At 36.2% G+C, this 22,335-nt stretch overlaps 1 protein-coding gene across 6 annotated transcripts in view; it reads right to left on the minus strand.

The window, feature by feature from the left end:
• Positions 1-22,335, minus strand: part of HEPACAM2 (HEPACAM family member 2) — a 43,752-nt gene that overhangs the window by 14,800 nt on the left and 6,617 nt on the right. For 4 of the 6 annotated variants that reach the window (XM_011516001.3, NM_001346642.2, NM_001039372.4 and 1 more), the window contains 3 exons: positions 15,768-16,118; positions 12,068-12,352; positions 5,247-5,543 (listed from right to left, as the gene is read on the minus strand). In XM_011516001.3, the coding sequence (XP_011514303.1) occupies positions 5,247-5,543; positions 12,068-12,352; positions 15,768-15,972 (787 nt within the window). In that variant the 5' untranslated portion in view covers positions 15,973-16,118. Of the gene's footprint in view, positions 1-5,246; positions 5,544-12,067; positions 12,353-15,767; positions 16,239-22,335 lie in introns of those variants that run through there. The other 2 variants (NM_001288810.3, NM_198151.4) reach the window with 1 other exon arrangement.

Genomic DNA, 22,335 nt, shown 5'->3' on the forward strand with positions numbered 1-22,335 from the left:
TATGTAAAGGATCAAATCAAGGGGCACAGTTGTTGTGGTCTCAGCTGCAGGCAAGTGTTTTTGCAAAGATGAACTTCCAGAACCTGAACTTGAAAATAAGACAGCAGGAAATTCTGACCCTATTGCCATAGAGAATGTATAGGGATCACTTCTGCAGTTCTGGACACCTGCAGGAGCTTCCTTCTTTCTCCTTTCAGAGAGTTTATACTATTCTTTAGCACATAGCATGCCATTCTCCCCATTATTTAAACATGATGGACTCATGTGCCAAAGCCATAGTGCAAATGCTATTTGCCTCCTCCTTAGGCAAACAAATAAAATGGAATAACATGTTAAGTGCAAATATGGTCAAGAGGTGTGGTATCCATGGTATCGCAACCCTGCTGTTTGAGACTGCACTCAGTGGCAGGACAGCCATATGCTACCAGTCTGTGTATCCATTTCTACATCAAAATGAAGTCTTGAGATCTCTCTCATCCAATCTGTTCACTGATTATGGCAGCTGACTCATGTCCCTCCGGAGATGAAGGTGCCACGTTGAGGAGTGTGCCATTTCCACACTCCATCATAGGCCCACTGACAGACACAGTTGTTCAGTGCTGGATGCTCATGGAGACATCACCTTAGGTCTCAGGGTCTGAATGTCAGATTTGTAGTTCTATCTTAATTGTCATTTCCAAAGACCCAAAGTGAAATACATTTCCTAGACATCTTGACTTGAGAAATTTCCAGATAGAAAAAATTAGTAAATTCATTTTCCTGCCTTGAGTCTTTTTCCTGTTCTCTTCTTTAAGAAAAGTTGGGAAATATAAATAAATGTAAAAAATGGTAGCTTTCTCAGGATCACGTACAAATTGAAAACATTTCTATTATGGATAAATCTCAAACTATGCCCACATGGCCTTAGGGAATTCTATTTATACAATTGAATGCCTTCATTAAATGTGAACATTTGAATACTGATCAGATGATTACATTTCCATAAACATTCTCTATCTATCTATCTATCTATCTATCTATCTATCTATCTATCTATCTATCATCTCTCTGTCTGTCTGTCTATACATTGCATGTCACAATAGCAATTTTGGCTCAGTTAAAACTTTAAAGTAGGGACATCTGCATTCAAGGAAGTCCGTAATTAAGGTAATAAAATCTTGTTTTGCAAAACACAAAGCTAATTTATTATTTTAATAGCTATTCTTTTCTTGAAATGTTATCATAGACATTATTTTCAGTTACAAGTATTTCCTAACTTTGCATTAATATGAAATTATACACATTGTAGACAAACCAGAGTATCTCTACGTACATAGCATTAAATTAGATAGGTGATGAGAAAGTACACGTACATAGCATTAAATTGGATAGGTGATGAGAAAGTGACCCTATACCTACCTTTTAGAAAGACCATATGGTTTCACCAACATTCTCAGTTATATCAAAGGAGACAGTTTGTATAGTGGTTAAAAACAAGGGCTTTGGGTCAGGTGTGGTGGCTCACGCCTGTAATCCCTGCACTTTGGGAGGCCGAGGTGGGCAGATCAACTGAGATCAGGAGTTTGAGACAAGCCTGGCCAACATGGTGAAACCTCATCTCTACTAAAAATACAAAAATTAGCCAGGCATGGTGGCACGTGCCTTTAATCCCAGCTACTTGGGGGACTGAGGCAAGAGGATCACTTGAACCCAGGAGGCAGAGTTTGCAGTGAGCCGAGATTGTGCCACTGCACTTTGGCCTGAGCAACAAGAGTGAAACTTCATCTCAAAAAAAAAAAAAAAGGCTTTGAATTCAGATATTATTTATCACTTACTAGCTGTGTGAACTTGCCTGTTGTCTCTGTTTTCTTTAGGATATTTCCATGGAGATACAAAAAGGTCAATTAATATCTCAAATTAGATGTGAATCATAGTCCAAAGAGGGGAAAGTCACCATTTGCTGTAGTCTTAGAAAGAGAAAAACACAGAACTAATTGTTCTCTCCAGCCTTCCTCTCCCCACTGAAAATCCCCAATAAAACTTGATTATTTCCTGACCTTGTCATTTTCTTTCCATATCTGTGAACTTGGAGTCATCTCTGGCTCTGTTTTCCTTTGGCTTCCACGTTTTATTGCTAAAACTTTTTGGTCAGCCAAATGTTTTGCCTTATTAAGAAGTAAGAGGTTAATCTCTTACTTACAGCTTCACTGGCGACACCAAACACCAATTTGGTTCTGGAAACATCTCAAAAGCAGGTATTTTAACCTTTTAAATGATTTCAAATTCTCCACAGATCTCAAGAGTTTACTCCTCAGAGTGGATGGAGAGTAGGCTCAACTGATACTTGCAAGTGATGGTCATTTATAACTGTAGGTTGATGTATACTTAATCTGTCCTGCTGAGGTTCATTAACTTTGAAACTTAGAAAAAACAAATATTTAACAAAACACATCAATACTATTCATTTTCTTTGCCATCTTGTTGCTGTTTGAGTTAAAGCTCTGTGGACATTTGGGGGTTAGAAAATAGCTCTAAAAGCCACAAAGAGGTCACTAATATTGACAGCTCTGAATCCCTCTGAAAAATAAGCACCTGCTCTTCTTATTTACTATAATAACAAATGCTTGGTCTTTGTACAGGTCAAACAGGTTTTTTAGATTTTGCAAAAGGCAATTATCTGACGTTAAGACTGTAGCTGTCTTTAGACCTTGGTAATAAGATCTTAATCAAATATTGGGGGCTTCTGATATTATGAGAATATCTTAGCTAAATATTAATGCAGAAAGTTTAGGCAGTGGGAAAGCCTTACTGTAGTATACTTCTACCCATTACAGCCATGTTTTCACTTGCAGTGAGCATGAGAAACAAGCTGAAGATGATACCAGGATTGCTACTATTTTATGTGCTTAATTATGGCTTGCTGTACAATTATGTCTTGGTTTGCTACTGGGGTGAAAATCTGGTTAAGCCTATAAAAATTAATAAAATGGAAAGCAAAGGATGTACCTCAGCTGTTTATGTGTTTGCCACTCATGTTAGATTGTGAGCAGGAATTCTTATTAGGAGGAATTACCTTTCTCATATGTTATTCTTAGTGCGTACTCCAATATTTGGCCCATAGTGAGTGCTAAAAAATGAATGAATGGGTGCTTAATTTATAACACCCTAAAACACATATGCTTTTTGGGTCTACAAGAAATATATATTATTATCTACTGCCCAAATGAAGCAACTCAGGTAAAAATTCTAGAGCTGCATTGTCTGACATGGTAACCACTAAACATGTGGCTATTTACATTCAAATTAAAATTAATAAAGATGAAATAAAATTAAAAATTCAGTTTCTCAGTTGTGTTAAGCACATTGTGTTAAGTGCTCAATGTGTTAAGTGCTCAAAAGCCAAATGAGGTTAGTGGCTATCATAATGAACAGTGCATTTTCTTCATATGAAAAAACCCCCACCATGACAATATATACATCCCAAAATACCGAGGTGATTTTTCCTCCTGGTACCAAGGAGTACCTACGAGAAACCCATTCACTATACATTTATCAACCTGTAGGTTTGCGATAGTCTTATAATTCTTCATGGCTCTTTAGGAACTTTTTAGTAAATTCAAAACACTCTGGAGATAAAATATACTAAACAAGTGGTTGTCACACTTGTATGTGCTGAATATTCAGATTCTCCAGTGCTACCTGAAAGATCCTGATCCAATAGGTCTGAGGTGTCTTAATGAAGCTACATTTTTAGCGACCTCCCTAGGTGATCTTGATGCAGATGGCCCAAGGGCAACATACTGAAAAACTGAGCCTAAGGATTACAAGAAATTATATTGTTGCATCACTTATTCAACAAAACATATTGAGTTTCTCTGTATTATGGGTCTTTTTCTAGGTACCAGTGCTATAAAGGTGAAGAAAGAGAAGGCATCAATAGAAAAGATATTAATGAGTAGTAGCTTTTATAAACTTGTTCTTCCACCAGTCATAGGTACCTTAACCACCATGTCCTGTCCAAACCTGCTCCCAGATTTTGCCCAAGTGGCATTTGACTTGTGTGCAAAGGAGAGTCTGAGAAGGACTTAGCAGTAGTAGAAGTAGTCATAGAAGAGGAAGAAGAAAAAGGAAAAGGAGAAAGAGGAGTAGGGAGGGAAAGGGAAGGGGAGAGGGAGAAGGAGAAGAGAATACAAAGAAATAAGTAAAGAAAGGCAAAAGAAGGAGGAAGGAGAGAAGAAAATGTATCTGAGAAATAGGAAGGAAGGAAATGGACACAACTCGGTGACTGAATGTGGGACCAGGGAATAGGCAAGAGGAATGAGTCTGAGATGACATTTAGCTTTCTGTCTTAGGTTGGTAGTTAGTAGGGCCATTCACTTAAATAGGCAATACAGACAGAATAGCAATTTTGGGGGAAAGAAGATGGTTTAGTTTTGATATATCAGACCTGTATGGTGCTTCTGGCACTTCCAAGCAGAGACATCCAGAGGCAGCTGGGTGTACGGTTTTAGAGCTTTAAAGATATAGATTTGGGATGTACCAGTGTTACATGAAGACATGGAAATGAATGAAATCATACAGAAAATCATACAGGAGAATAAAACCATTCTGTAGAGAGAGAAGAGAAGGTGTAGAAGGATGAGAATTTGGTGGACATCAATATTTTAGGCCGTAATTCTTAATCTTTGCGGGTTGATGACATTTCTGAAAATCAGATGATTTCTAGAGAAAGCCAAATTTCACAGACTTACAGAATTTTGTAATTTCCAAGGTGTTGAGACTCCCCTTGTGAACTTCCATAGATTTCAGCTGTTTAAATGGTGGAAGAGGAAGGGGAGCCCATGAAAGACAGTGAGAAGGGGAATCAAATAGAAGTAGGAAAACCAGATTCCCAACTCATGGAGACTTATTCATCTGACCTAATGCAGTGGTAGATATAAACCCTCTAAATGAACAGCCTGTTTCTCTTATATTTTTGTTCATAAAACTAGGAAAGTAAGAGTGCACATTTAGAAGTAATTTGTGGAATTCCCTTTTTCTTCATAGCCCTTCACAATTGAATTGAATTTCTCCCCTATTTCATTTTGAATTTTTTTTCTTTGAGTCATAGAAACCATGGCTTAGTTAACTTTGGAAAGAGAGATTTTTAGAATATATGAATAATCCCACAATGATTTTCTTTTCTACCTAGGTATAAGATAGGGGAAGTGCAAGGCCAGCATGCATTCATGTTTTATTAGGATCCCTTCCTTGTATGTCACACATACCTACGGAAGTGATGATAACTGTGAAATGAGTTTCATCTTGCCTGCCGGTTATGTTGTTGTAAGCACAGCACACATAGTCCATTGTCTTCTGGGCTACTTTCTCAGATGCAACTTCTAAGCGAGGCCCATGCTTAATGATATATGTAGTATTGTCAGTCCTCCTAATCCAGGAGTAGGTGTTGGGGGGATGAGAATCAGCAGAACAATCAAATAGGATGGCCTCTCCAAGGTCAACAGTAAACACTTCCCCTACTTTTAGCCCTTTATCAGAATTCACTTGAAGTCCATAAGGTCCATCTGCATCAATATAAAAAAAAATAGATAAGTAACACAAGTAATCACAACATAGGTTTTGAGTTTGGGAGAGCTTAGTAGCATTTTACTGTTTTTGAAAATTTTCATCTTAGAATTGGACGAGCAGGTCCTTGCTTAGACTCCCAATAAATGATGAGGACCTAAATATGTTTTATTCTGATATCGATGAAAGTGAAAATTATTTGAGATTTGATTTGAAATAGTGATTTGAACTAATCTGAAATAGTAAAAGCCTGAAACTTCATATACAATTTTACAAATACTGTCATCATAATTGTGATGCTAAGGTTTTGAGTAATGTATTGATAAATCTGCCATCTTGTAGACAAATTCAATCTTGCTGTTTTTGTGTGACTAGCTTATTTTTATATGCTGATTTATTTTATTATTATTTTTAATTGAGACATGATAATCGTACGTATTTATGAGGTACAGTGTGATGTTTTGATCACATGTTTTGATACATGTATACAGTGTGTAATGATTAAATCAGTCTAATTAGTATCTCCATCACCTCAAACATTTATTATTTCCTTTTGTTGGGTACATTCAAAGTCTACCATTGTTGCTGTTTGAAAATACACCATAAATTGCCGTTAATTATAGTCACCCTCTAGTGCTATAGAACACAAGAACTTATTCCTCATATCTAGCTGTCCATTAACTATTTTTGTGTCTATTAACCAACTTTTGGCTACCCCCCACCACCCCACTCTTCCCCATCTCTAGTAACTACTATTCTACTCTCTATGTCTATTAGATCAACTTTTTAGCTTCTACACATTAATATTTCTGAAATAGTCATTGTACTTGAAAATATTTTTACAAGAGATTATGGCCACTATTTTCTCTTTAACAACCATACTTTCAGTATTATCTATTTTTCTTCTCAGTGCTAGGGTAGGCCATGTAAATATTTATAAAAGACATTGTTTCACATGGGACACTGTGCAAATAGACATAGGGGTGTTTGGTATTTTTACAACATTTTAACAGTTAAAGAATTTTTAAAATCCTCCCACCCACACCCCAGCTAAGATTAGGATTCCATTTGAAAAAAAAAGTTACATCTTCTTTATCATTAACTACTTAGCCCCTGGTGTTTTTTTCCACATTGCAGTACTCCTGTAGCATTGTACCATTTCTATGGTGTTAGGTTGCCAGTAGGTGAAGACACTTTTCCCATTGCTTTCTTCAGAGAATAAGGAAAATTTTAAAAAATTCTTCTCCTAGATAGGTTTTCTCATTCAGTCTAAATCCTGGCTTATAGTCTAAAAATCTTTGAGTTTTAGTGCTTATGTTCACCTTTCAGCTGATCATTACCAATATTTATTGGATATCTGCCATGAGAAGGCACTTTAAGTGCTTATGCAGATAACAACATTTAATATTTAGAGCAACCACCATGAGGTAGATGTTATTATTCTAATTTTAAGATGAGGAAAGAGATATTTAAACAATTTATTTGCCCATGGTCATATAGCTATTAAATAGCAGAGCTGGGTTTCTAAAATATATGCACTTAATCGTTCACATTACTTCTCTAAAAAGAAATAAAGTATAAGTGGTATAACTTTCTATATCATAATAGTTTGTTGTTGTCTAACTGTAGTACTAGTTCTACAATCAATTACTAATTATATATTAATATTAATTCTGTAATCATCCAATCAAGTAATAAATATTTATTTGAGAGATGATGCTAAGTATGAGATAATATATTTAGTATACGGGAGATAGAGGTATGAGACATTCATATTCTTAGGGAATTTACAAACTGGATATGGGTATGGATGGTTTGCTCAGTAATGGCCTAATCTTAAAGGTCCTGATTTTTTTAAAAGTATAAGCTATTTATCTCTCAACATATAGAAAAATAGAATGTAGTAACTAAACATTAGGGTAACTAATTTTTTCAATCACTAGCTAGGCATTCTTTAGAAGTCATTTGAATTTTTTGGGTCTCATTTTCCTCACCTTTTAATATAAAAAGACAGGTTAGAGGACTGATTGCCAAGATTCTTTCTAACCCCTTTGAAACACCAGGATTCTTGCCATGCCATTAAAAGTAAAGGCAAAAACAGTGATTACTTTTGCACCAACCTAGTAAAACCATTTTGGATATTGGCAAACCAATCCCAAGTTTGCAGATTCCCAGAGTGGTTCTCTATCATGTCAGCATTTTCTGACCAATCTGCCACAGAGGAGACAAATTTTCTAAGCTATAACAGAAAACGAATATACAAAACAATAGATTATCTTCAGCTAGAAAACAGACTAATCTATGTTTTCTTTCTAGAGAAAAAGACATATGGAGAAATGTGAAGGAACCATATGGGTTTTTATTAATAAACCTGCATGAGATAAGCCTGCTTTCAGAAAGCAAACAGAAGTTAGTACTTTCAATTTAAAGTAATCAGGAACTGAAGGTACAGGATTAAAATAAGGAGAAATTTCTGCCCCTTTCCTGTTACTGTATAAGAAGCCTGTTCTCTCATTTCAGGCTGTGACACAGTCTCAGGTGAAACCACTGTGATAAAAGGTTTAGAACAGTGTGCTGTCAAATGGAACTCTTTTGTTCTGAATTCCACTAAACAGTAAGTAGTGTAATGGGAACAAAAATTTGTTTTTGCTCACTCAACCGAAATCAATATTGAGATTACTTTGCACATGGTATGAGTCTAGGCATAGTGAAGACATCTGAGACGTTGACCACATACTATGTATGGCTATTATCTCAGGCCCTGTGGTTCAGAAGGGACCCTTCATGTTGTCAGCATTGATAGAACATTAGGGAAGGAAAGATCACCAAGCAGCGGGCAGTTATGGTGCACACCGAAGGAAACCAGCAGGAGGAATTTACCGTAGTTTGGGAGAGCAAGAGACCTGAGTCTATGTACAAAATCTAAAGTCTGAGGGTCTTTCTGAGAGTAGAGCAAGGCAGACTTGATAAAGAAGAAAAATGTGGTCACGAAAATACAGCCACTCAATTTAGGTCTTCGTCTTCCCCCTGGTTTTCAGGGTATAGAGAATGGGGCTATAAAAACAAACTGTCTAGTAATTTAATACACATAAAAATGAGTGTTACTCCTTTTCAAGCATGCTGACATTGCTCAAAACTTTTTGGGGAACTCCTCATTTGGAGTTGCCTTAGGACCCTGCAGCATAATGGAGTATTCTCACAAGCAGTAATTCTTCAATTTCAATTTCAGAGGGTAGGTTTAATTTGTAGAGGAAGCCCATAGTCATTTAGAGCCAAGGCTAGTAAATAAGGTCAATTACCTAATTTAATAAGTTCATTCTGGTTTAAAATAAAAATACCTTTAAAGAAAGTAATCTGATTATCTTATCTTCCTTAATCATGTGTATTTTGATTTCGTTACTTCCCCATTTATTGGGTTTCATGATTGGCATAATTTTTTCTCTTCTGTCTGTTTTATTTATATGCTATATTTGGCTCTTCAGAAGCAGCCTCACATCCCTCAAACTTCCTTGCCCCCACCTCAACACCTCTTCCGACTCTTGGAACCTAACACTTTGAAGCATTTCAGTTCCTTGCTTCTGATATGTTTCTTAAAAAGTAACATAGTTTATCTGTTTATATAAGAAATGCACGGTTTTTTTTTTGCAGAAAATCCTAAAATTCAGAGAAGCACAAAGATGAAAAGAAAGTCATTTGTAATTTTATTGCTCAGAGAACCAATATCCACATTTCAGTGGATAATTTTCAAGTCTTACTTTAATGCATCTTTTTCTCTCTCTCTTTATCACACATGCACACAAATTTAACTACATCTCACACTCTACATGTTGCTTACAATATACTTTCTTCTGACTCTACTATGATGTTATTTCCTTTATCATTAGAACTCCAGGCTGACCATCCCTCTACTTGGAGGGGCAGCCTAGTACATTATTCGAGTGAATGGGCAATCCAATTGGAGATATTTGGAGTGATTCAACTAGAGTGACCTCTGATACTGAAGATGAAAGCAGAAGGATAATTCCATTTTGACTTTGGATTATGGTTTACTTTCTTGCCTTTGGCAGAGAGCTCCCAATAGAAATGAACCCTTTGCCTTGGGGATGGCTGTTTACTAAATGACTTGTAAAATCACATATCATCTGTTCTCTTTAACAATTTATGGCTGTGTGGGAACAGTGCCTAAATTTACATCATGATGCTGTTTGCCGCCCTGCTTGGGAGCAGATGGTAAGTATTTACTGTGAATGACCTTTTTTCCCCTTTAATTTTTATCACTTAGAGCTCTCCACTGCAGCATTGCCATATGTTGCACACAAAATGCAGTGGTTACTGGGTTATTATTTACAACTGGAGCTTGAAGGCATATCATGAACTGCAAGTAGATACTTGTCTGAGTTATTGGCTTGACATTGTATTCCACCAAGGCCAATACCAGATTATGACATCACAACCTCATAAGTATATAGTCAATCTTAATAGATTTTATTATACTTTTTCTGCCAAAATAAAAAATAGTTCCTACTTTCATGAAAAAACCCTTCACAGAAACAGTGCCTTTAGAAAACAGAATACTTGATTTTGCTAAAGGTCAGGAAAAAAAAGTGCCAAAGCACTATAATGAAGAAGCTGTCACCTTATAATGAGAATTTAGCCTTTTTACAGCATCGTCAAGTAACACTGGAATCTAAAAGGGATATGAAGAAAGATAATCTGTTCCATTTTAGTTAAGTTCAAGAAACTTTATTGATTTCTTAATCTCTGTCAGCTATTGCCCTATGGATACAAAGATGAAGAATGCAGAACTCTGGTTTGGGTTTGGGGTGTTCACAAGAGTCAAGGAAAATATAAAGCAGTGAGGACCCGGAATGAGAGTGCCTAGGATGCTGAAGGAGCACAATGAACCTGTTAGTGACACTGAGGAGGTGAGATAAGTGGAGGCAGGTAAACCTTTCTGGAAAGGATGATGATGTCATGAGGCAAGAAGAAGGCAACCAGATGAAGAAAGAGAAGTGTGAATAACACCAACCAAGGCACATATTCCCAGCTTGCAGGGAATGATAAAGATTGTAAACATTTGGATGCCACATCCACAGATAGGATATACAACCAATCTTCAGATTACAGTATATATTTTATTTAATTTTTGTTACTCAAAAGCAACAAAACCAACCAACCAGAACAAAAACAGGGCTAAAATAGTGATAGCAAGAAAAATTATTAAATTAATGGGTCTGGGTTGTGTTTGTACATGTTATATGGTAGGTAGTAATTGTTTAGCACAAACAAGACCCTGATGTTTCATTTTTTAAAATCAAATAATCTATAAATGAATGAGTGCATAAATGAATAAGTAAGTGAATGAATGAATATCAATAAGATGAGATGTTGACCAAGTGAAGAATTCTGCATTTGAAAGTAAAAATAGTGAAGACAAAAATTAGTAATGCAATGTTCACAATTACCAATTAATGAGTCAAAATCTTTCTTAAGCCATGTAGATAATTCATCTTTACAATGTGTAAATGGAAGCCACATTTGTAAATTGTCTAAATGTTCTTCTTTCTATTATCTGTCGTTAGTCTTTGCATGTGATAGGTGTTTCTCTATGAGATTTTCATAGGTAATGTTTAAAATAATGTAAAGAAGAAAGTTCAGTCTGTCAGCAAAAGATAGATTCTGTAAAGTGTGAACTTACTCAAATTGGGGTATTCTCATTCTTTCAAATAACATCGTGAAGGAAAGAAGGCTTAGGAGCCTAAAGCATAATATTTAACATTTGCAGGTTTGATTATGGTTTTCTCTCCCATTTTTATATTTTCCACACTGTGTATCACAGCATATTCTGTGATAATAATGAGATTGGTGCATAGACTTGCACATGTTGAAAGAAAGATGTTATTTTCATTTTGCCAGATTAATATGAACTGTATAGCAAAACAAAAGTATATGTCAAAAATGATATTTGCATTTGCCTATAATTGCTTAAGTAAATTTCCCCAGGACTTTTTCATTTAAACCTATGGCTAGAGTTTAAAGACAGGCAGGTAGGGATGGGAAGACATACAGATAAAGAGCTAGAAGAAAGAATTGATGTAAAGAAAATATTTTACAAGAGAAGAATAAAGTATGTTAAATTCAGGAATGGTAATATTTGGAGAGGAAAAAAGTTCTCAAGATATTCTTTCAGTTTTTTTCATTGCAGCCTCTGCATTGTTCTGGGTTCTTGAAATTGAGAATCTTGCTTTCCGCTGGAAATGAGGTCGCACAATAGACTGAATCACGAAATACAACCTGAGTGGCCCCTGGCCAGTATTTCAACTTGATCTTTAAGAAATAGGATTGTGCTAGCAGACATATTTCATACAAGACAGTGCCTAGGAGGTGTGATTAGAACTATTGAACTACAATAATGGTAAAAAGCCAAATGACATCTGGTACTTATATTCTCTGTGACTATCCTGGGAGATATTCTCAGAAAACAACAAAAAACAACTCATGAGTTAAAAAAAAATAAACTTACAATATATGATGGGCATAATGATATCACTTTCCATTTCACTGACAGGGTTCCTCACCAGGCAGCTGTAATTCCCAATGTCTTCCTTGGTTACTGGAGCAATATGAAGGGTATTGTTTTGGGGAGAAAAGGAGTAGGTGGAGCTGGTGTGGACAGGTCTCCCATTTTTTAGCCATTGGTAAGCTAGCCGAGTGCCCCCTTCCACATGGCATGTCAGGGTCATGTTCCCCACATACTCCACAGCCCCAGAGGGAGGATGAATCTGCACCACTGGCTTTGTGACAGGATCTGCAATATTAAGAGAGATATGAATGATTTTTTCTTTTCATGGAAATATAATAAAACCCTATGAGGTCTTTCAAATATGAACTCCTGGAGAAATTATTCCAGCATTTTACACTGTAAATGTAGACAGCTCAGGTAATAACTAAAGAAGAGAAGAGAATAAAAAGCCAGGGAAAATGCAAAATGACAAAATATGAGAATATCATTTATAGTCAGAGATAATCAAATTCCAGAACTTACTTTTCAAGGATGGTCTAATGAAGCCCTTTACTTTATAGGTGGCTGAGAATGTCAGCTTCCTTATTTCCTGTTCATTGTGCTTTCACCAACACCATAAAGGTACACTTTCACAGGCAAAATTTTTATGGTTATTCCCCTCTATTGATTTGTCCTAATGTCCCAATAGCAGCTGGTTGGGATGGATGTGGTGAACTCAAATTTCTATCATCTGCAAAATATACAGCTAACATATATACTATACTTTTGGGAAACTGAGGGATAATTTTAGTGAATCACATATGTAAAACTATTCTTTCTATGTATGTCATGAAGCAATTATAAACTTTAATTGCTTTGCATTTGTGTTGTAACATTATGTTAGGCACTTTAACAAACCAAAACCTACATTTATTTCAACACTGACTCAGTCTGAAAATAGGATAAAATATATTCTTGGGCTTTTATCAAATTAGAGAAAAAAATACAAATCCGATAGAAATTCCTGTTGGAAAGTCAAGTCATAGGAAAATAGTCTTATTTCATCATCTGCCACACAGTAGGCTCTTAATAATATTTGTCAAAGCAAATTTCCAAAAATGAGTAAATATTTGCTCTCTGAATTTTAACTGTAAAGTTGATGGATTATATAAGCATGGTAGAATTATATAAGAATCCGCAACCATTTCTGGCAATTTTCTTTAATCATTGAAGTTCTTGACTTAATCGATAAAAACAGTGGCTTGCCCAGAGTTACACAGCAGTCAGTAGCAAAATGAAGAGGGCTTCACATCTGGCAATGTTTCTCTTCTGCATTTTGGAGAGAGGTGTATTTAATAATCTCCTTCTATGTATGACTACATGACACAGAGAGAATAGGATGATACATAAGTGAGAGATGATTGTGTCCAATGTTTAGACTTCAATTTCCTTTCAAGCTTTTAATTAGGGTCAATGCATCTTCCTCAGGTAGATTTATTTTGACTTGTGCTCATATTTTTCTACACTGGAAAATGTGCATTAGGGCACAAACTGACCAAATTCTCCATCCCAGAGAAGATAGAAGAAAGTGAAAGATAAGAGAAAGGAAGTCGAAAGGTAACTTATGGGGGAGTCGAGTAATTCTGAAGCTTATAGCACTTTTCAAGAAGGGTGTAATCAACTGGCTCATCTATTTAATTTAATCCTTCATCTTCCCTGGCAAGAACAAAAGACTGGGAAAGGCTTTATGTTTATGATATTATGATTTTAAAAGAAAAATAAATTGTGTACATTTAATATGCAGAAAAAGCTTATATTTCAAATGTACCTGTGTGTGGAACTGTAAGTGGTATGAGATAAATAGGTAACACATCAACAGTTTTGTATGAGAAGAACCAATCATTAGAATAGTCACTGGTATTGTGATCATACATTTGCTTAAAACAGTATAACTCAGATGAAGAAGTTTTTCTTCTGAGAAGAATTTTGGCATGGGGCCTAAAACCCTATTCAGGCTTTACTAAGTTTTTGGTTGCATTTTCCTAAGCAGATGCAACTTTACTACTGATTCACAAGAAAGGATTCTATTAGGAGGGAGACAGGACACCATATAGGAAATCTTCATGGAAATTCCCTTTAGATCTCTCTTTTCTTTTTCCCCACAGTTGCTCTCTAGGCATTTGCTTCTACCTTCTGCATCTTTACTCCTCTGAAGCCTCCCCAGTCTCCTCTGTGGCCACTCATTTATTCCACAGATAGTTGCTGAATCTACTAGTGGTCAGCAAAGGTTTTAAGCACTGAGGACAAAGCAGCAAATAATACAAAGTCCCTGCTCCTAGGGACCTCATATTCTAGGTAGGGAAGAGAAAGAATAAACAAATAAAAATCTATAATATGCCCAGGTAGTAATAAAAGCTATGAAAAAGAGAGAAGCAGAATTGGAGATAGAGAGTGACTCTCTCTCTCTCTCTTTCTATTTTCTCTGAGCATGTGTGTCTGTGTGTGTGTGTGTGTGTGTGTGTGTGTGTGTGTGTGTTGGAGAAGTGAGATTACATTTTATATAGGGTGGTCAGTAAAGGCTTCACAGATAAAGTGACATTTGAGCCAAGACCTAAAGGAAACGAGGGGAGCATGCTAGTATCTTGGAGAAAAGCTGTCTAGGTAGAGCAAACAGCAAGTACAAAGGCCCTGAGGAGGAGTGTGTTTTGGCCCGTTCCAGGAAAAGCATGAAGGCCAGCATGGCCAGAACCGAGTGAGTGAGGGGGATGCAGATAGGAAAATGGGGTCAGATAGGCGCTGGGTATGTGGGGCATTGCAGATTGTTAATAATTTGACTTTTACTCTGAGTGAGATAGAAGCAATGGGAGGATTTTAAGCTGAAGGAGGCAGGAATAGAAGCAGGGAGAGTAGGTGGCAAAGCTATTAGGACAGTTCAGGCCGCGGCTGATTGTGGTATTGAGTGGGGCAGTACTGGGGGTGGTAAGTGGTTGGATTTTGTCTATATTTTCAAGGTAAAGCCAATAGGCTTTCCCGTGGACTGGATGTGGGATGTGAGAAAAAGAGGAGGTCAACGGTGACTACAAGGTTTTGGCTAGAGCAATTGATAGAATGGAATTTGTATTTATTAAAATGGGGAATACTGTCAAATAAACAGGTGTAGAGATCAAAAATCAGAAGTTGGGCTTGGACATAGTATATTTTACATATGTCACTTATTTCAATAAGGAAAATAAGTGTCTGAAAGTTAGCTGACCCCACTCCTCCTCAGAGGACATTTCCAGGCATGTCCATTGTCCTTAAGTACCATTCTTGCACAAGTCTCATCCTCTTCCAAACAGTGTACTGAAACAAAAATCTTCATGACAAAAATAGGACTCTTCCCAGGGTACAGTCTATTGTTGAGAAAATAAGATTTTCTCCATCTCATCAAATTAGCAACATTATACTTGATAGTTCCCAGGCAAACAAACAATAAGTTATACTTAGTGCTTGATTACCTATTGCACTAGGTATATCTCTTATGTGCATGTCTTATTTAATCTTCAGAAAGCCTTGTGAGGTAGATAATGTCATTAGTGCCATGAGATATTGAGGCTTTGAGGATTAATTGATTTGTGCAAAGTTGTGAAGCCAAGATCTAAAGCCGAAGTAGTTTAGTCTCCTGAGCCTTTGCTAACTACCATGCTAGACTGCTGCCCTCGTACACTCACAGGGGACTCACCATCAACCGTGACTTGTATCTTCTGACTGGCAGATAGAGTTCCATTTCCCTGAATGTTGACCTTCACGATGTAATTGCCTTCATCAGGGAACTGCAGTGGGTTGATAAGCAGAGATGCATTGGGTGGCATCATGGTGAACTTGTGTTGGTATTCCAAGTCAGGAACCACAGACTTATTCACAGAGCCCAGTAAGTATTTGGGCATTGTGTGGGGTCTCTCAAATAGCCATATGATCTGGATGTCTGATGCTGGAGTGTGGAAGCCATAGTGGACGGGTAGGTAGAGGGCCTGACCTCTGACGCCATGGACAGTGTGTGATGGCACTGTCACCTTCAGCCCCGAGCAAGCACCTGTTGCAAAGGAAAGGAAAGTTGTGAAGACCTTGAGCCACATTTCACAATCTAAAGGGGCAAATGCAGAGAGAACCTGATCAGGTGATAATCCTTTTCAAAGAAGAGTGGCTTCTAGGTACTGACTATTCTAGTACTGGTTACATATAGAGGTAAATATTTGTCCCTGAAACCTTCTGCACTTAAAAAACTCCACCCAAAGACCGTGCTGGTTGCACAAGATAAAAAGGAAAAGCAGAAGTTATTTTCTACGATTGCTACGGAATAATGGGAAAAGGAGAACTAAGAAAGTTTACTACTTCTAAAGTCCAATGAAACCATTAAAACATTTGGAATTATGACTATATTAATGTCTGTCATATCATATCATAATCTAACTATGTGATTTGAGAAATACTAGAGGTTATTTCCTCCCAACAGTTTCCCTTAAAGCTGTCTGAAATGACTGAATATTCCATTATTGGAAGTTCTTCCTTTTAGCCAAATGCTTGCCAAATGCAAATATCCCAAGGAGAGTGGTATTAAACCATTATCAGTCATGACCAGTTATTTCCACCCAGAACAGGCATCTGGTTGGTGTATTTGAGAAACAGCAAGAGGCAGGTACAGATGGAGCACAGTGGAGGAGGAGGAGCATGATAAGATATGAGGTCAGTGAGGTGGCTGTGACAGACTGGCAGGACCTTAGGATCACGGGAAAAACTCTGGCAATTTTACTCTAAGATGGGGATGCAATAGGAGTTTCATGAACAGAAAAGGGCTATTTTTTTAAATGTTTTATTAGACCTAGTCTAGCTGCTGTGAGAATACACAGGAATAGGGCTAGAGCAGGAACAGGGAGAACACTTAGTTAGGAGGTGACTGCAATGTAATAGGCCAGAGACAACTGTGCTGGAAACTAGGGTGTTAGTAAAAGACGTTTTGGAAAAAGGCTGATTGTGACAAAAGGATTTGGTGACACTTTGAGGGTGTCAGAAACAAAGAGGATGCCAAGCTTCTTGACTCGGACCAACTGGAAGAAAGGAATTGCAGTAAATAAATTAATCATGGGGAAGACTGTGGGGAGAATAGTTTTTGTGGGGAAGACGAGGATTCAGTTTTGGGAGCGTTCATTTTGAGATGCCCATTAGACATCTAAGAGGCAATGTTGTGAAATCCTGATTAATGTGAATTTAAGAGAGAATGAGGGGCCTGAGAGGGCCTTGGGGCATGGAGCTCTGCCCAGTGGATAGCCCTGGGCAGTGCTGGGGATTTGTGGACCCATGCATTCACTGCTGTATCTTCATGTTTCTTCCCAGTTTCTGGCAACTGGAGATTTCCCCGTCTTACCTTAAGCCATGATATATTATTTTATTTTATTTAGCATTTCTATGTATTTGCAGGGGGAAGAGAGTCTTCCTTAGCTCAGGTTACCATGTTGCTGGAAGCTCTTTGCTTCAAAATCCTCATATTAAAAGGGGCAATATGATACCTACATCATAGGAACATTTGACGTAATAGAGGAGAGAGTGAGAGAAATTTAAATGTGGAATATTTTGAATGATGAGAGAAAAAATAGACAATGAAAAGAAACTGTAGACAATGAGTATAGACAACACTTTAGGGAAGTTTTGCTGTGAAGAGGACCAGAGAGATGGGACAGAAGCTGGAGAAGGATCAAAAATGTGAAATAAAGAGAGTTTTTTGCTATTGGGAATGTTTCACTGGAAAGGGAAATGTTGATGAGGCAGAATAGAGATGGGTGAAAGTGGAATAAAATCCTTAAGCAGGTGAGAAGAGATGGAAATTAGATATAAATAGAAGCATTTTACAATTTTAAATTTCTCAAGTACAAAATGTTCATCCTCTTTGATCGCTTCCACTTTTTCATTTTTTTCTACATTTTTTTGATTTCATTCTACTAGAAAGGGAGTCCTCAAGCTTCATCCAAGTCATGTCATGAAAGGCCATCAATTTTAAAAAGGGAAAGGTAGAAAGATCTGTTTGCCTTTTGTGATTATTTCCTTGGAAAAACTCAAAGATGTAGGCCTGTTCCTATGAGGAATCCAGTTCTACCAACAGTAAATTTATCTCCTTCCTTCCCAGAGTGGAGGTAGAAGCAAAGATTCCCACAGTTTGGGCCTTTGGCTAGCTATTAGTAGAGAGTGAGACTCTGGGGTTGGCAGAGAAGTTAGAGGAAAGAATCCAAGAGGAGAAAACACCAAAGAGGAAGATAGTTAGTTAGAGGGAGAAGAGACTCCTAGACTTGCAACTGAAACTTACCATATGGACTGAAAAGCAGATGACTGTAAAAGAAACATAAAGACATGTCTTATTGTCTCATTGGCCTCTGTGTGTTTTTGTGATTAACTTCTAAGAATTTTTTTTTCTTCTGATAATGGACCTACTTGCACACTTTGGTGATTGGTCCATAACAAAGCAGTTACAAAGATGAGAATTCCCTTCTGTATTCTTTTCTGCCAAGTGTAAGACTATTAAATCTGGAATTTTTCCTAATTTGAGTGATTAGAAAAAGAGAAAACTGGGTGCTGGGAATTCTAAAGAGGAGATAAAGTGGACTGCAGAAAAGAAGTAGTGGTTTTCGCAAGGAAATAGTAGGAGAGAGAAAGAAAGATGGGAGAGAGAAATCTATGTCTCAAAATTAGTGATGTCTAAGATATGTGAAGCAGAGGCTGACAGTCGGGGTGAAACTCTTAAAGTCATAGGTTTAGTAAGACATTGGGCCTTTGGATGGGAGATCAGCACAGGAAAAGATTCCTCTTTGTCTATCTGTTTTCTGTACAAAACAAAATGCATTTATATGTCTTTCATTGAAGTTGAAGATAGGCAGTTCCTGACAAGTTCCTGGTAAGCGACAACAAAAAAAAATAGGCTTAGTACCTGTTATTACTAACTTAAGATATGTAAATTGGACCTTTCACTGTATTAAGTGTATTGCTCCCTCCTTTTTTTTTACTTGTGTAAATATGAAAATATTTACAAGTGTTTCATGGCTCACTCCTGATCTTGGACTCCCATGTTCTATGTCCGCCATTGAGTCTTAAATTTATCACTTGCAAATAGCTCTAAAATAATGATTTTCAAGCACCTATTCTCTTAACTTGAAGATTACTGTGCTTGTTACTTTAATAAAGTTAAAGATCTACTGAAATATGAAGTCCTAGTAAAGGACACATACTTGGGGTAAAATGGTGATTGGTCAGTTATGTGACCTTAAATAAGTCATTTTAATTTTCAGACTCAGTTTTCTCATGTGTGAATAGGAGGTAATATCAGATAAGGTGTAAGGCCTTTCTCGACTCTCTTAATTTTATGTTATTGACAACCTGAGGTGCTTTTCTAAGGGTAGCAGCTACCTATATTTGAAGGTGAAGGGCCCAGAGAGTTTTGAGAGGACCCAAATTGAGAGAGGGCCTAAATAATTTTGAAGAATTGAGTCCCAGTTTTTGGTTCATATATTAAGTTGTCAATCCTTGGATATCCTTTAATAAAACAGCAATTCTGTGTTTTTTACAAAGAAATCAAGGGGAATGATGGAAGTCTGTATAATTGCCTTGGGAATGCACTGGAAAAAGCTGCATGGCTGCTAATAGGGAGCAGCTTTGTCATGGATGTGTTGGTTCACTTAGGACATTTCACAACTCAGCCTAGAAACCACCATTAGGCTGAGAAGGTCTGAATGGATTCTGACCCATTTTGTGCTTGTCATTTGGGAAAGCCATTGCAAAAGTCCTTCTCTGCTTTTTTTGTAATTGACTTCCTTTGTAGTTATATTTGAAAAGATTGAGATTTATTTAATATTCTGGAAATGGTTGGGAGGCACTATATTACTATGGGGTGACAATATTGCTGGAATAGAAATGTTGATGACTTTTGGATCTTGACCCAGAATGTTGAATCTTAAATATGAAAAGACTGGTTAGAGAGTCCATGACTAAAATTATAGGAGGAAAATTTTATTTAATGAAATATTAAATACAATACAAATATTGAAGCTCTGAGAAAAAATAACACTACATTAGTAGAAAAAGATATTTAATATAGCGTTTGTGATCATTATTTAGGGGAAAATTAGTTTTGGGGTCTATTTTAGACTGCATCATGTAATAATACCTTAAATAATATATTGCCATCAATATCTCTGAATAGGTTCAGTGCTTTCTTATTAAATGAAAAGTTTTTTTCAAATATGTATGCTTTTTCAAATGTTTGTGTGACAGTGAGAAATAGCACAGCTGTTACAGTAACTATTTGCTTAGAGATTGCCTATACAATTTTTTATCAGATAAATTATAGGTAGCAAGTTATAAGAATGTCAGCAGGGAATGAAATTTTCTTTATACAGTATCTTATCTCAGCCACGTAAAATCTCTTCATTGGACATGAACCTATCAATATGATACAATCTTTGCTTGTAGTGAAATTTGGGAATAAACAGATAATTGAATGCTTCCTCCACATTCTAGGAACACATACTCTCTTATCATTGATGTGTCACCCACTACAGATGTGATGAATTCATGCTGTCAAACACAGTAGTTTACTAATGTGAGAAAACTTAGCTTCATTTTGAGAAATTTTCAAGTGCTCTTTTCTAGTTGTATGAGAAAACCCAAAGGACTAAACCTATTGATTTTAGAAAATCATCCTCTGCATGAACAGATAAACTTCAAGAAAATAAATAATATAAAAAGGTTGGTTGTGGTGGCTAATGCCTGTAATCCCAGGCACTTTAGGGGACTGAGGTGGCAGATTGCTTGAGCCCAGGAGTTTAAGACCAGCTTGGGCAACACAGCGAGACCTCTGTCTCTATTTGAAAAAATACAAAAACAAAAATAATAAATAATATAAAAATTGATGAAATTTAAATTTATTTTTAGTAGTCCAAATATTTGGACTTAAACGGAAATTTAAATTCGATTTTATTATTATATTCACTATTACTTTCTGAGTATAACAAACAAAAACTCTTATAAATTATAGTTCTGTTAAAAAAATCTTGACTTTTTGCATATAAGGCATTACACAAATCTGGAGAAACATTTATAATACTAATCATAATCTGACATACAAAATTGCAGCAATGATCCCTCCTTTACAGACCCTCTTACATTGTATGACAATAGCACTATAAAAAAGTATCCAGTGTTAAGGTACACTTGAAGTCCTACTGTAGAATTTATCTATATTCCAGCAACAAAGGACTCCCTAGACCGGTTTCATTGTATTGAATATAAACATCAGATTTCACAAAGTGACCTCTGCTGTAGCTCAAAATAGCTGGCATTTACTTCCCTGTTATCATGTGTGGTATTAACAAGCATAACACAAGTATTGTTGACTGAAAATAAAATCTTGCATCTTTAGAGAAAATAGAAATTATGATGTGTTTTGAATAAACTGTACAAACTGTACATTTTAGGCTTCAAATTTTTAAAAATTTTTTAAAAAGAAGAAGCAAACAAAACTTCAATATTCCTAAAAGCAAAGATTGCCAAGTCATCTGTGGTCTTTACAACACACTGCCTATGGAGAAAAGCAAATTTGCAGAAGAGAGAAGGTCTTAAGGTATAAAAACTGCTTTAGCTATTTATGAACATGCTATTTTCCTAATGTACATTTGTTTTATTTTAGTTGAATTCCTTAACTAAATTGTCTCTAAGTTCTTCTTAACGCCAGTTTCAAAAACAACACTTATAAAATGATAGTAGTCCTACTGTTTTAAATATAAAAATAAGTGGGATGATGACCCAGGATACTTTCAAAAGGAAGACAAATGCACAAAGGTAGTGACAGTTATAATAATTATTTACTTTTTCAAAAAATTTTAGAAAACAAAAATCTATTATAGGCTTAAATTTGATAACATAAATACTGTGATAACTGGAACAATCACAACTCTGGGAAACTCAAAGACTTAAAAAAATTTACAAACTGTACATTTCAAATGTGTGAGATAGGTACAACAGTAGGTATGAATTTGAATAATAACATTTACAATGCAAACTTTAACAAAATATAGGAGTGAAAGTAAAGCTCTAAATAGCTGAAGAAGCCTAAAAGTTAAATTGCTTATTTTGCTAAGCTGTTCTTAATTTTTAAAAAATGTAGCCTTAATTGAACTCCTATCTGTTGAATATAAACAAAACAAGAAATTGATTTGACTTTTAAAACTGATAAATAGGAAGAATGGAAATGAGAACATCTGGTGAAAATA

Source organism: Homo sapiens, chromosome 7 (assembly GCF_000001405.40).
Source record: "Homo sapiens chromosome 7, GRCh38.p14 Primary Assembly".
Classification (NCBI taxonomy): domain Eukaryota; kingdom Metazoa; phylum Chordata; class Mammalia; order Primates; family Hominidae; genus Homo; species Homo sapiens.